Source organism: Homo sapiens, chromosome 5 (genome assembly GCF_000001405.40).
Source record: "Homo sapiens chromosome 5, GRCh38.p14 Primary Assembly".
Taxonomy (NCBI): domain Eukaryota; kingdom Metazoa; phylum Chordata; class Mammalia; order Primates; family Hominidae; genus Homo; species Homo sapiens.
Genome location: NC_000005.10, coordinates 172,285,374 through 172,299,651, shown reverse-complemented (window position 1 = coordinate 172,299,651; position 14,278 = coordinate 172,285,374). Strand labels below are relative to the sequence as shown.

General features: G+C 45.6%; 1 long non-coding RNA gene across 1 annotated transcript; it reads right to left on the bottom strand.

Annotated features, from left to right (window-relative positions):
• Positions 1-1,275: 1,275 nt before the first annotated feature.
• On the bottom strand, positions 1,276-14,055 carry LOC100288254 (uncharacterized). Its single transcript, NR_130933.1, has 2 exons — positions 13,897-14,055; positions 1,276-2,918 (listed from the first exon to the last, which is right to left on the bottom strand). It is a non-coding gene; the product is annotated as an uncharacterized LOC100288254 (long non-coding RNA).
• Between the last annotated feature and the right edge of the window lie 223 nt (positions 14,056-14,278).

Here is a 14,278-nt window from a genome sequence, read left to right as displayed (position 1 = left end):
AAATAGTCCTGGTAGAATGTTATCATTCATAATTTTAGTTATTATTTTAAAATGTTGCATGCAAGAGAAATAATCAAATTTTGTTGTGAATTGTATTAACATTGTAATTAACTTTAATCAGATCTTTAACCATTCACAAATGGTTAATCTTTGTAACTCACAAATGATTGTTTACTCTGGTACTTTCCTGAATTAAAGAAATAAGATTGGTGTTTAAGAGGGTATAAATCCAATGTGAAGCCTGGACCCACGAAGAGGCTGGATGGCTGCCTGGTAATTCCTGAGTCCTTAAATCTTCCATCATTAGGCCAGGCATGGTGGCTCACGCCTGTAATTCCAGCACTTTGGGAGGCTGAGACAGGCAGATTGCTGGAGTCCAGGAGCTCAAGACCAGCCTGGGCAACATGGAAAAACCCTATCTCTACAAAAAATACCAAAAAAAAAAAAAAAAAAAATTAGCTGGATCTGGTGGTACATGCCTGTAGTCCTAGCTACTTGGTGCTGAGGTGGGAGGATCACTTGAACCCAGGAGGTTGAAGCTGCAGTGAGCTGAGATCATGCCACTGTACTCCAGCCTGAGTGACAGAGTGAGACCCTATCTCAAAAAGTTTCCTGTTTTTGTTTTTTTTTTTTTGAGACGGAGTTTCACTCTTGTTGCCCAGGCTGGAGTGCAAGGGTGCAATCTCAGCTTGCTGCAACCTCTGCCTCCTGGGTTCAAGAGATTCTCCTGCCTCAGCCTCCCAAGTAGCTGGGATTACGGTGCCTGCCACCTGTAATTTTTGTATTTTTAGTAGAAACGGGGTTTCACCACGTTGGTCAGGCTGGTCTCGAACTCCTGACCTCAGGTGATCCGCCTGCCTAGGCCTCCCAAAGGAGCGATTATAGGTGTGAGCCACTGCGCCCGGCCAAAAGTTTCCATCATTAAAAGTTATGCCTGCCATAGCTCACCATGGAGTAGAAAAAAATGATATAAATTACAGAAAAAATATTGATGTGGTAACCAATGTTTGGTTTGTTAAACCCACAATTCTGTAAAGACAAAACTTCAGGTTTTGCTTCATTTCTGCTACTTGATGGGCCATTTGAACATTTTCAGAGGGATTTTATTCAATTGCCACCTTCAATGGGATATAAGTATGTTCTTGTAATAGTCTATGTTCTTTGGCTGAATAGAAGCTTTCCATGGAGGAAGGCCAATACTATTACAGTAGCTAAAAGTTTATTCAAAAATGTGTTTCCTTTATGGGGCATTCTTGGAGAAAAGAAAGCTCCACTGACAGAGATACCAATTTTACTCGGAAAGTTATAAAGCAATAAAATAAAGTGTTACAAACACAATGGCATTACCATTGTTGCTATCACCTTTAGTCTTCTGGAAAGGTTGAAAGGACAAATGGCATCTTGGAACTGAAACTGGCAAAGTTAAGTGAATTGACTGGATTGCCTTGGCTAACAGTATTACCATTGGCCTTGATGGCAATCAGATTCCCCTCTCAGTGGAAAATGTAACTTGACCCCTTATGAAACAGTCACTGGGCCGGGCATGGTGGCTCATGCCTGTAATCCCAGCACTTTGGGAGGCCGAGGAGGGCAGAACACCTGAGGTCAGGAGTTTGAGACCAGCCTGGCCAACATGGGGGTTTCAACCCCATCTCTATTAAAAATAAAAAATTAGCTGGGTGTCATGGCACGCGCCTGTAGTCCCAGCTACTCGGGAGGCTGAGGAAGGAGAATTGCTTGAACCTGGGAGGTGGAGGTTGCAGTGAGCCGGGATCGTGTCACTGCACTCCAGTCCTGGCGACAGAGCGAGACTCCATCTCAAAAAAAAAAGAAAGAAAGAAAAGAAACAGTCACTGGAAGGCCTATGCCCCTAAGAATAGAACCTCATGTATCTTCTACTCTTATAAACTCTGCTATGATTCAGTAGTGCAAGGCTTTAATGCATTATGCCAAAGCATACTTTCACTAGGTTAACAAAAAAAAAAAAAAAGGCAGGCCGGGCGCGGTGGCTCACACCTATAATCCCAGCACTTTGGGAGGCTGAGGCAGGCGGATCACGAGGTCAGGAGTTCAAGACCAGCCTGGCCAAGATGATGAAATCCCGTCTCTACTAAAAATACAAAAATTAGCCAGGTGTGGTGGCAGGCGCCTGTAATCCCAGCTACTTGGGAGGCTGAGGCAGGAGAATTGCTTGAACCTGGGTGGCAGAAGTTGCAGTGAGTCAAGATCACGCCACTGCACTCTAGCCTGGGTGATCAAGTGAGACTCTGTCTCAAAAAAAAAAAGAAAAAGAAAAAGAAAAAGAAAAAAAGGGGGGGCCTTCATGACCCACCAGCAGATGACAACTAGATTTCTCAGAGTCCAAAACTCAGCGATTGAGTCCTTTGGAAATGACACCAGAGAAAGACTGTCCTTGAACTCTATTGGAAGGGACCATAACAAGTTCTTCTCTGCCACAAAACTTCAGTGCTCTGAGACTTGGATCCACAACTCTCAACTCAAAGGAGCCCCTCAAGACTCCTGAAGCCGTACACCCGTGGGATTCGAGACTCCTGAAGCCGTACGCCCGTGGGATTCGAGACTCCTGAAGCCGTACGCCCGTGGGATTCGAGACTCCTGAAGCCGTACGCCCGTGGGATTCGAGACTCCTGAAGCCGTACGCCCGTGGGATTCGAGACTCCTGAAGCCGTACGCCCGTGGGATTCGAGACTCCTGAAGCCGTACGCCCGTGGGATTCGAGACTCCTGAAGCCGTACGCCCGTGGGATTCGAGACTCCTGAAGCCGTACGCCCGTGGGATTCGAGACTCCTGAAGCCGTACGCCCGTGGGATTCGAGACTCCTGAAGCCGTACGCCCGTGGGATTCGAGACTCCTGAAGCCGTACGCCCGTGGGATTCGAGACTCCTGAAGCCGTATACCTGTGGGATTCGAGACTCCTGAAGCTGTATACCTGTGGGAGACTTTCAGGTAAAGCTGGTGAGGGAACTTTTCCCTCCAGAAGCAGAAGGCATTCTAGATGTGGACTCTTTCCCAAGATCATGGGTCAAGACTTCTTTGCATCATGAAAGCCTTATCCTCCCCTGACCCCCTCTTTCCTGCTGCCCTAATCCTTTCCTTTTCTCTCCAGGAAAATCCATGGGACCATAATTTGTGGATGGCTTTAGCTAAGGTTCATGCTCCAGCAAAAAAACAGAGCAATTGTTGGGTATATGAAGACAAGTTAGTTTCCATTGAGGAACAGTTCCAATGGGGTTCTTGGGGGCTCACTCTTGATAATTGTGGAGTATTGTTAGTATCGAATTGAAGCTAATTCATAACTTGGGGAAAAATCTTGGACTTTTTGGCCAATCAGACTTCCCAGGGGTTCAGATAAGTAGAAGTCGCCCTCTGAAATGTGGATGACAACATACATTTTCAATAAAAGCACTTAATGGGGCCGGGTGCGATGGCTCATGCCTGTAATCCTAGCACTTTGGGAAGCCGAGGTGGGTGGATCACTTGAGGTCAGGAGTTCAAGACTAGCCTGGCCAATACGGTGAAACCCCATCTCTACTAAAAATACAAAAATTAGCCAAGCGTGGTGGCGCGTGCCTGTAATCCCAGCTGCTCGGGAGGCTGAGGCAGAAGAATTGCTTGAACCCAGGAGGCGGAGGTTACAGTGAGCCAAGATTGCACCAATGCACTCCAGCCTGGGTGACAGAGCGAGATTCTGTCAAAACAACAACAACAAAAACAAAAAAAAAAAACAAGAAAACAAGCCCTTAAGGAACATCAACAGCTTTAGCTCTTCTTTTTGCTCAGGGCTTGTGCATGGTCCTAAACAAAACTGAATCTTGTACCTATCTTTCCCCTGATTTTGCTACTACAGAAAGCTTAATTTAAAAGGTGGTTGATGGTAGGTGGGCATGATGGCACACACCTGTAGTCTCAACTATTCAGTAGGCTGAGGCAGAAGGATAGCTTTGAGCTCAGGAGTTCAAGTCTAGCATAGGCAACCTAGCAGGACCGCATCTCTAAAAATAAAGTTGCTGGATTTTTTGTTTTGTTTTGTTTTTTGAGACAGTCTTGCTCTGTTGCCCAGGCTAGAGTGCAGTGGCTCTATCTCAACTCACTGTGACCTCCGCCTCCCAGGTTCAAGCAATTCTCCTGCCTCAGCCTCCCGGGGATTACAGGCAAGTGCCACCATGCCCGGCTAATTTTTGTATTTTTAGTAGAGACGGGGTTCACCATGTTGGCCAGGCTGATCTCGAACTCCCGACCTCAGGTGATCCCCCTGCCTCGGCCTTCCAAAGTGCTGGGATTACAGGCGTGAGCCACCTTGCCCAGCTGATATTGCTGTTTCTTTAGGTATTGCCACCAAATACATTAAGGAAATGTCTCAAGAAAAAGGAAACACGATGTATTTATAGGAGCAAACAACAGTTGGCTTGCAGACATCCTAAATGGTGGATGGCAAGCTTGGCTTTTCCAAGGTTTTCCAATCTTTATGTTCTTCTAGTGGGTCTTCAGGTTACTATGACTTGTGTTAACAGGCTAACAACAAAACTGGATACCTCTTTAAATCAGACCACTCTACAGTGAACTATGGTCCTCAATTGCCATTGTGCCTCAACAAAGACTATGACCAAATGAACTCAGATGCCTATATTGTATGAACTTTGACTTGTTTGATTTGGTTGTTTGGTTCATGGGGACTCCTATTGAAGAGTACTCTTTAGTCTTTTGGTATTTTCCTCCTGACAGTCATCATAATAATCCCCCTAGTACACTATATCCTCTTGTTTTTTTGTTTTTTGTTTTTTGTGTTTTTTTTGAGACAGAGTTTTTCTCTTGTTACCCAGGCTGGAGTGCAATGGCGCGATCTCAGCTCACTGCAACCTCCGCCTCCTGGGTTCAAGGGATTCTCCTGCCTTAGCCTCCCGAGGAGCTGGGATTACAGGCATGCGCCACCATGCCTGGCTAATTTTTGTATTTTTAGTAGAGACAGGGTTTCACCACGTTGGTCAGGCTGGTCTCAAACTCCTGACCTCAGGTGATCCACCCGCCTCAGCCTCTCAAAGTGCTGGAATTACAGGTGTGAGCCACCATGCCCATCTTAAATGTCATCTTAAATGTCTGTATGAAGCCATCCATTGAGTGTTCAGTGGTCTCACTTCAATTAGATCATCAAGAACATCAAGAATTATTCAACTGCTGTGACTTTGTGACTTGTGAATTTCATACTAAAACCAAATAGGTCCATTTGCAATGGTGACAGAGAGTGGCATCAATGCTCAAGGTTTAGGTCAATCTCTCAAAAATTGAGAGGCTGACCAAAATGGAGGAATTGTTAAACTAAATTTGGCTTGAGGATGCCTCTGTACTTGAGTCCTTATGGAACAAATTGTAACCTTAGTACATCAGCGAACTACAAGCCTAACTTAGGAGTATACTTTTGTAACAGTAGCTGAGTCTCAGCCGGTCACACTAGCCAAGCCTCAGTCAATCACAGTTGGGCAACTGATTAGACCATGTTCAAATAAAGCAAATGCTGAGCTGTAATCACCTGAAGTATTCATAAGTGCTGCCTGCCCACATTGCAGGCTACAAATCTTTCAACCTGTTCTGGTTTTGAGGATTGCCTGATTCATGAATTATTCTTTGCTTAAATAAATTCTGCTTTAATGTAATTTGTCTAAAAATTTTAACAGGGCTATGAATTTTCTTTTGATATATGAGTTTTTCTGGGGATATGTGCTTTACATATATCCCATAGATTTGGATTTGTAGCAATTCTTTAATTTCTGTAATTCCCTAGATCCAAGAGTTGTGAAGCACAGGTTTTAAAGTTTTCAGGTAGAACATTATGCCAGTTATCAAATTGTTGAATCTCAGATGCAAACTCAATCTTCATTGCCTGCTCTGTGAAAATGAATATGGGCCCTTTAAATATTGTTTCTTTGCCAGCTGGCACAATGTTTAGCTTTGACAGTAGAGGGCACTGGAGAGACACTGCAGGAGGCTCACTCACTCAGTAGGTTTCCACAGCCTGGGTGGCTTCTCCAGTGCCAGGTTCCTGCGCTGTGTGCAGCCTTTCTAAGTGGCCAGCTTTTGCGGCACAAACAAGCTTCTCTAGCATAGCTCCTTCAGTATATATGTTGCTCCAGCACCAGGCTCCTGAGGTGGTGGGCAGCTTCTCCAAGGCCCAGATCCTGCAATATGCAGAAGCCTACACCACCTAGCAATGAGCAATTTCTCCAGGTACTTCGTAGTACCCGGTAGTTTCACAGCAGAATGGCTCTAAGTGGGGTACCTCCTATAAACAGCCTTTCAGCATTACAGGGCATATTATCAGCAAGTCCTAGAGAAGGGATTTCCAGCAACTTCCACTGGTGTGGCACAAGAGGAACTTCTCTGCCATTCACCAAGCCAAGGCCATATCCCCTCCAGCAATGGGGCACTGGCTCTCAGCCCTAGAAGGGCCTCTTCCTTAAGTGCACTGTCTCAGCCCTAGGGTTGCTGCTGCTGCTTATCTGCATTCCTCCGTTCTTTAGAGTTTCCTTTTCTCTTCCATAAAATCAAAATAATACCTGATACAAAAAGTGGACAAAGACCTTTAAGGAAAAAAAGAACTATAGACACTGGGTGCAATGGCTCACGCCTGTAATCCCAGCACTTTCGGAGGCCGAGGTGGTGGATCACCTGAGGTCAGGAGTTCGAGACCAGCCTGACCAACATGAAGAAACCCTGTCTCTACTAAAAATACAAACTTAGGGCCAGGTGCGGTGGCTCACACCTGTAATCCCAGCACTTTGGGAGGCCAAGGTGGGTGGATCATGAGGTCAGGAGATCGAGACCATCCTGGCTAACATGGTGAAACCCTGTCTCTACTAAAAATGCAAAAATTAGCCAGGCTTGGTGGCACATGCCTGTAATCCCAGCTACTCGGGAGGCTGAGGCAGGAGAATTGCCCGAACCCGGGAGGCAGAGGTTGCAGTGAGCCGAGCAGTGAGCCGAGATCATGCCACTGCACTCCAGCCTGGGTGACAGAGCGAGACTCTGTCTCAAAAAAAAAAAAAAAAAGTCAGGCATGGTAGCTCATGCCTATAATCCCAGCTACTTGGGAGGCTGAGGCAGGAGAAGTGCTTGAACCTGGGAGGCGGTTCAAGCAACAAGAGCGAAACTACGTCTCAAAAAAAAATTATAGGCAAATATTCATAACCAGAGATGCAATAATTTAGAACAAAATGTTATAAGGGCTAAATGGTAAGAGCTTATGAACACAAAGAAGGAAACAAAAGAAGGAAACAGGCCAGGCACGGTGGCTCAGCCTGTAATCCCAACACTTTGGGAGGCTGAGGCGGGCGGATCACCTGAGGTCAGGAGTTTGAGACCAGCCTGGCCAACATGGTGAAACCCCATCTCTACTAAAAATACAAAAATTAGCCGGGCGTGATGGTGAGCACTTATAATCCCAGCTACTCAGGAGGCTGAGGCAGGAGAATCACTTGCACCTGGGAGGCGGAGTTTGCAGTGAGCTGAGATCATGCCACTGCACTCCAGGGGTGACAGAGCAAGACGTTGTCTCAAAAAAAAGAAAGAAAGAAAAAAAAGGAGGAAACAACAGACACAGGTCTACTGGAGGAGGGAGAGTGGGAGGAGGGGGAGGAGCAGAAAAGCTAACTAGTGGGTACTGGGCTTAATACCTGGGTGATGTAATAATATGTACAACAAACCCCTATGACACGTGTTTACCTATGTAACAAACCTTCACATGTACCCCCAAACCTAAAATAACAATTTTTTTAAATTGCTAAATATGCCACAAAAATCATTTTAATATAGAAATAAAAGAGCTGTTTATGATTCTGAAAAAAAAAAGTTAGCAAATAGAATGCAACAGTACATAAAGAGGACAATACAACCTTGAATTTCCCAGCTTCAAAACTTACTGTAAAACTACAGTAATTAAGACAGTGTAGTACTCGCATAATCATGACATAAAAGATCAATGAAATAAAACTGACAGTCAGAAATAAACTCTAACATTTATGGTCAATTGATTTTTGACAAGGGCATCAAGACAATTCAATGGGGAAAGAATGGCCGGAGGTGGTGGCTCACGCCTGTAATCCCAGCACTTTGGGAGGCCAAAGTGGGTGGATCACTCGAGGTCAGGAGTTCGAGACCAGCCTGGCCAACATAGTGAAACCCTGTCTCTACTAAAAATACAAAATTAGCTGGGCATGGTGGTGCATTCCTGTAATCCCAGCTACTTGGGGGGCTGTGGCAGGAGAATTACTCAAACCTGGGAGGCGAAAGTTGCAGTGAGCCGAGATCGTGCCATTGCACTCCAGCCCAGGCAACAAGAGCACAACTCTATCTCAAAAAAAAAAAAAAGGTGGGCGGGGGTGGATAGAATAATCTTTTCAACAAATGATGCTGGGACACTGGAAATCCACATGCAAAAGAATGAAGTTGGATCCCTACTTTACATCATTTATAAATATTAAGTCAGGCTGGGTGCAGTAGCTCACACCTCTAATCCCAGAACTGTAGGAGGCCAAGGTGGGAGGATTGCTTGAGGCCAGAAGTTAAAGACCAGCTTAAGCAACATAGCAAAATCCCATCTTTAGTTCAAATACATTTATAAAAAATAAAAATAAGTTATTTCATGTTATATGTATTTTACCACAATAAAAATATTAATTCAAAACAGATCAAAGACCTAAATGTAAGTGCTAAAAGTATAAAACTCTTAGAGTGTAAATCTCCATGGCCTTAGACAATGGTTTCTTTTTGTTTTTCTTTCTTTTTCTTTTTCGGACATGGTATATTGCTTTGTCACCCAGGCTGGAGTGCAATGGCATGATCATGGCTCACTGAAGCTTCGACCTTCCATTCTCAAGTGATCCTCCCATCTCAGCCTCCCAAGTAGCTGGGACCACAGGCACACAGCACCATGCCTAGCTAATTCTTTAAATTTTTTTTGTAGATACAGGGTCTCATTATGTTGTCCAGGCTGGTCTTGAACTCTGGGGTTCAAGGCATTTTGCCTCCCAAAGTGCTGGAGTTATAGGCACGGGCCACTGCACCCAGCCAACAATGGTTTCTTAGATATGAGCCCCAAAGCACAAGCAATCAAAGAAAAAAATAGGTTAAATGGACTTCATTAAAATCAGCTGGTGCAGTGGTCCATGACTGTGGTCCCAATTCTTCAGGAGGCTGAGGTGGAAGTATGGATTGGGCCCAGGAGTCAGAGTCTAGCCTGGGTAACATAGTGAGACCCCCATCTCCAAAAAAAAAAAAAACAAACAAAAAAAGGAAACTACCTTTTGTGCTTCAAAAGACACTATCAAGAGGGTTAAGCAAGGAGCATTGGTTCACGCTTGTAATTCCAACACTTTGGGAGGCTGAGGCGGGAGGATCACTTGAGGCCAGAGTTTAAGACCAGCCTGGGCAGCATAGTGAGACCCTGTCTCTACAAAATATAAAGAAAATTAGCCAGGCATGGTGGCATGCAGCTGTAGTCCCAGCTACTAGAAAGGCTGAGGTGAGAAGATCATTTGAGCCTGGAAGGTTAAGGCTGCCGTGAGCCAAGATTGTGCCATTGCACTCCAGCCTGGGCAACAGAGCAAGATCCCGTCTCCAAAATTAAAACAAAAAAAAAGAAAAGAAAGTTAAGCCAGGTGTGGTGGCTCACACCTGTAACCCCGGCACTTTGGGAGGCTGAGGCAGGAGGATCACTTGATCTCAGTCGTTCGAGATCAGCCTAGGCAACATAACAAGACCCTATCTCTACAAAAAGAATTTTTTTTTTTGAGATGGAGTTTCGCTCTTGTTGCCCAGGCTGGAGTACAATGGCGAGATGTTGGCTCACCACAACCTCTGCCTTCCGGATTCAAGCGATTCTCCTGCCTCAGCCTCCCAAGTAGCTGGGATTACAGGCATGTGCCACCACGTCCAGCTAATTTTGTATTTTTAGTAGAGACAGAGTTTCACCATGTTGGCCAGGCTGGTCTTGAACTCCTGACCTCAGGTGATCCCACCCACCTCGGCCTCCCAAATTGCTGGGATTACAGGTGTGAGCCACCGTGCCCAGCCCAAAAAGAAATTTTTTAAGTTAGCTGGGCATGGTGGTGTGCACCTGTAGACCCAGCTACTTGGTAGACTGAAGTGGGAGGATTGCTTGAGCCAGGAGTTCAAGGCTGCAGTGAGCTATGATTGCACCACTGCACTCTAGGTTGGGCAACAGAGTGATACTTCATCTAAAAAAAAAAAAGAGAAAAAATTAGCCAGGCGTGGTGGCAGGTGCCTGGTATCCCAGCTACTTGGGAGGCTGAGGTAGGAGAATCACTTGAATTCAGGAGACAGAGGTTGCAGTGAGCCAAAATCACGTCACTGCACTCCACCCTAGGTGACAGAGCAAGACTCCGTCTCACACACACACACACACACACACAAAAGTAAAAAACCTGCAATAGGCTGGGTGTAGTGGTTCACACCTGTAATCCCAGCACTTTGGGAGGCCAAGGCGGCCAGATCACTTGAGGTCAGGAGTTCGAGACCAGCCTGGCCAACATGGCAAAACTCCGTGTCTACTAAAAATACAAAAATTAGCCAGTCATGGTGGTAGGCATCCGTAATCCCAGCCACTCAGGAGGCTGAGGCGGGAGGATCACTTAAACCTGGGAGGCAGAGGTTTCAATGAGCCAAGATCATGCCACTGCACTCCAGCCTGGGCTACAGAGCGAGACTTCATCTCAAAAAAAAAAAAAAATGAGCAAGTATCTTGAGTAGACATTTTTCCAAAATAGATATACAAGTGGCCTATAAGTACATAAAAAGATGCTCAACATTATTAGCCATTAGGAAAATCAAGTCAAAACCACTTTGGAAACAATTTGCCAATTTTTCAGAAAGTTAAACAGGGTTACCATATGACCAAGCAATTCCATTCCTAGGTATAAATCCAAGACAATTAAAAACATATGGCTACACAAAAGCTTGTACAGGAATGTTCATAGCAGCTTTATTCCAATACCCAAAAAATGGAAACAATCCAAATAACCACCAACTGATGAAAGGATAAACAAAATGTGGTACATCCATACAATGGAATATTGTCCATAAAGAGGAATGAAGTTAGTCTCAGCTACTGGGTATTGTGTGTGTTGGCGGCGGGTGGCGGGTTGGCGGGGGGGAGGCGGGGGGAGGTGGGAGGATTGCTTGAGCCTGGAAGGTTGAGTAACATGGTGAAACCCCATCTCTACTAAAAATACAAAAAATTAGCTGGGCATGGTGGTGCACACCTGTAGTCCCAGCTGCTCGGGAGGCCGAGGTGGGAGAATCACTTCAACTGCGAGGTTGCAGAGAGCTGAGATTGTGCCAGTGCACTCTAGCCTGGGTGACAGAGGGAGACTCCGTCTCAAAAAAAAAAAAAAGAGAAAGGTTTGTGGTCGCCTAGGGCTGGGGTGAGGTAGGGGATAGAATGAAATGGGGAGTGACTGCTAATAGGTACAGGGTTTCTTTTTAGGGTGATAAAAATGTTTTAAAATTCATTGACTATTGATATTTAGTAAATATACTAAAAACCATTGACTTGTACAATGTAAATTGGTGAAGGGGTGGGGGTGGATGGGGAAAAGGGAGATATTGATTCCAGAGTAGAAAGTTTCAGTTAGGTGGAATAGGCATTAGTGACCTACTGCACAGAATGGTGACTATAATAATGCACTGTATACTTCCGAATCGTTAACAGAGTAGATCTTAAATGTTTTCACCACAAAAAAGAGAAGCACGTGGACGGGGCGCAGTGGCTCGGGGCACGGTGGCTCACGCCTGTAATCCCAGCACTTTGGGAGGCGAAGGTGGGCAGATCACGAGGTCAGCAATTTGAGACTAGCCTGGCCAACATGGCGAAACCCCATTTCTACTAAAATTACAAAAATTAGCTGGGCGTGGTGGCAGGCGCCTGTAATCCCAGTAACTTGGGAGGCTGAGGCAGGAGAATCGCTTGAACCCAGGAGGCAGAGGTGGCAGTGAGCTCAGATTGTGCCACTGCACTCCAGCCTGTGCAACAACAAGACTACGTCTCAAAAAAAAAAAAGACAAATACGTGAGGTGATGGATTTGTTAATTAGCCTAGTCATTCCACATTGTAAACATGTATCTAAACATCACACTGTGACCTCATAATACAGTTATTTGTCAATTAAAAATAAACTGGTGAAATACATGGTATATGAATATCTTAATAAAGATACTATAAAACAGTAGAAAAGCACATGTGCACACACACACACACACACACAAAGAAGGAATTGTTTTGATAGAAAGTGCTATGCAGTCAGTTTTTTTTTTTTGGAGTCAGTCTTGCTCTGTGGCCCAGGCTAAAGTGCAGTGGTGCTATCTCGGCTCACTGCAACCTCTGCCTCCCAGGTTCAAGTGATTCTCCTGCCTCAGCCTTCCGAGTAGCTGGGATTACAGGCACACGCCACCATGCCCAGCTAATTTTTGAATTTTTAGTAGAAACGGGGTTTCACCACGTTGGTCAACCTGGTCTCAAACTCCTGACCACAGGCGGTCTGCCCGCCTCAGCCTCCCAAAGTGTTGGGATTATAGGCCGAAGCCACTGTGCCTGCCTGCAGTAAATTTAGATAGATGATGCTAGACATGAAATAAAGAGTTGATGAAAAGCCCCACAGAGTTTGGAGCATTATTTTTGGCCCAATTTTACAGGTGAGGAAACTGAACTCCACATAAACTTTTTTTTTTTTTTTTTTTTAGATGGAGTCTCACTCTATCGCCCAGGTTGGAGTGCAGTGGCAAGATCTCAGCTCACTACAACCTCCGCCCTCCGGGTTCAAGCTATTCTTCTGCCTCAAACTCCCAAGTAGCTGGGACTACAGGTGCGAGCCACCACGCCTGGCTAATTTTTTTTTTTTTTTTTTTTTTTTTGAGATGGAGTCTCGCTCTGTTGCCCAGGCTGGAGTGCAGTGGCGCGATCTCTGCTCACTACAAGCTCCGCCTTCCGGGTTCACGCCATTCTCCTGCCTCAGCCTCCTGAGTAGCTGGGACTACAGGCGCCTGCCACCACGCCCGGCTAATTTTTTGTATTTTTAGTAGAGACGGGGTTTCACCATGTTAGCCAGGATGGTCTCGATCTCCTGACCTTGTGATCCGCCTGCCTCAGCCTCCCAAAATGCTGGGATTACAGGCATGAGGCACCACGCCCAGCCTAATTTTTGTATTTTTAATAGAGATGGGATTTCACCATATTGGCCAGGCTGGCCTCCAACTCCTGACCTCGTGATCCGCCCGCCTCGGCCTCCCAGAGTGCTAGGATTACAGGCATGAACCACCGTGCCCGGCCAAACTTTCTTTTTTCTTTTTTTGAGACAGGGTCTCGCTCTGTCACCCACACTGGAGTGCAGTGGCGCGATCACAGCTTACTGTAGCCTCCACCTCTCTGGATTCAGGTAATTCTCCCACCTCAGCCCCCTGAGTAGCTGGGACTACAGGCGCTCACCACCACGCCCCGCTAATTTTTAAAATTTTTTCGTAGAGACAGGGTCTCCCTATGTTGCTCAGGCTGGTCTGAAACAGCTGGGCTCAAGTGAGCTTCCCACCTCAGCCTCCCAAGGTGCTGGGATCACAGGCGTGAGCCACCATGTCTGGCAGAAACTTCAGACCATATAGCTAGTACACGATGAAAGCCAGATTCCAATCCAGGAAGTTAATCGCCAAGCTGGGGCCCTGACTGCGACACTACTCTGCCTCCTGGGAAATGTGTCTCTAAGATAAAGGCAGGGTGGAGAACATCTATTGCTGAGAATCTCTCCCCGAGATTGCTCTCTCTTCCTAGTGCCAACTCCTCAGTGCTCATCGGAGAGCCCTCATCATTTGGGTGCCTACCATCTGTTTAATAGACATCGTGGAAGTCTTGGTTTCTGCAATTTCTAGAGTGAAATTCAGGACAAAGCAATCTCTTTGCAAATATTCGGCATGCAGCTTCTCTTCTTCAGGGAAGTGATGAAGTGATGTGTCTGCCAACGTGTATAGTTAGTTGAAAATGATCAGACAGAAGGCTTTGTGACACAGCCCCTGATGTCAGAGCAACCTCTGAAAACTCATAATAACATCGATGGCATAAGCTCTTTTTGGAATGTTCAGGACCACAACTGAGGACAATACTAATTCTTCAGGATGAGTTTAATATAGCAGATTTCTATATCTCACGACATTTCTGTGTTTTAACCTAAGTGTAGGTTTTGCTTGTCTACTGTCTTTTTATCAA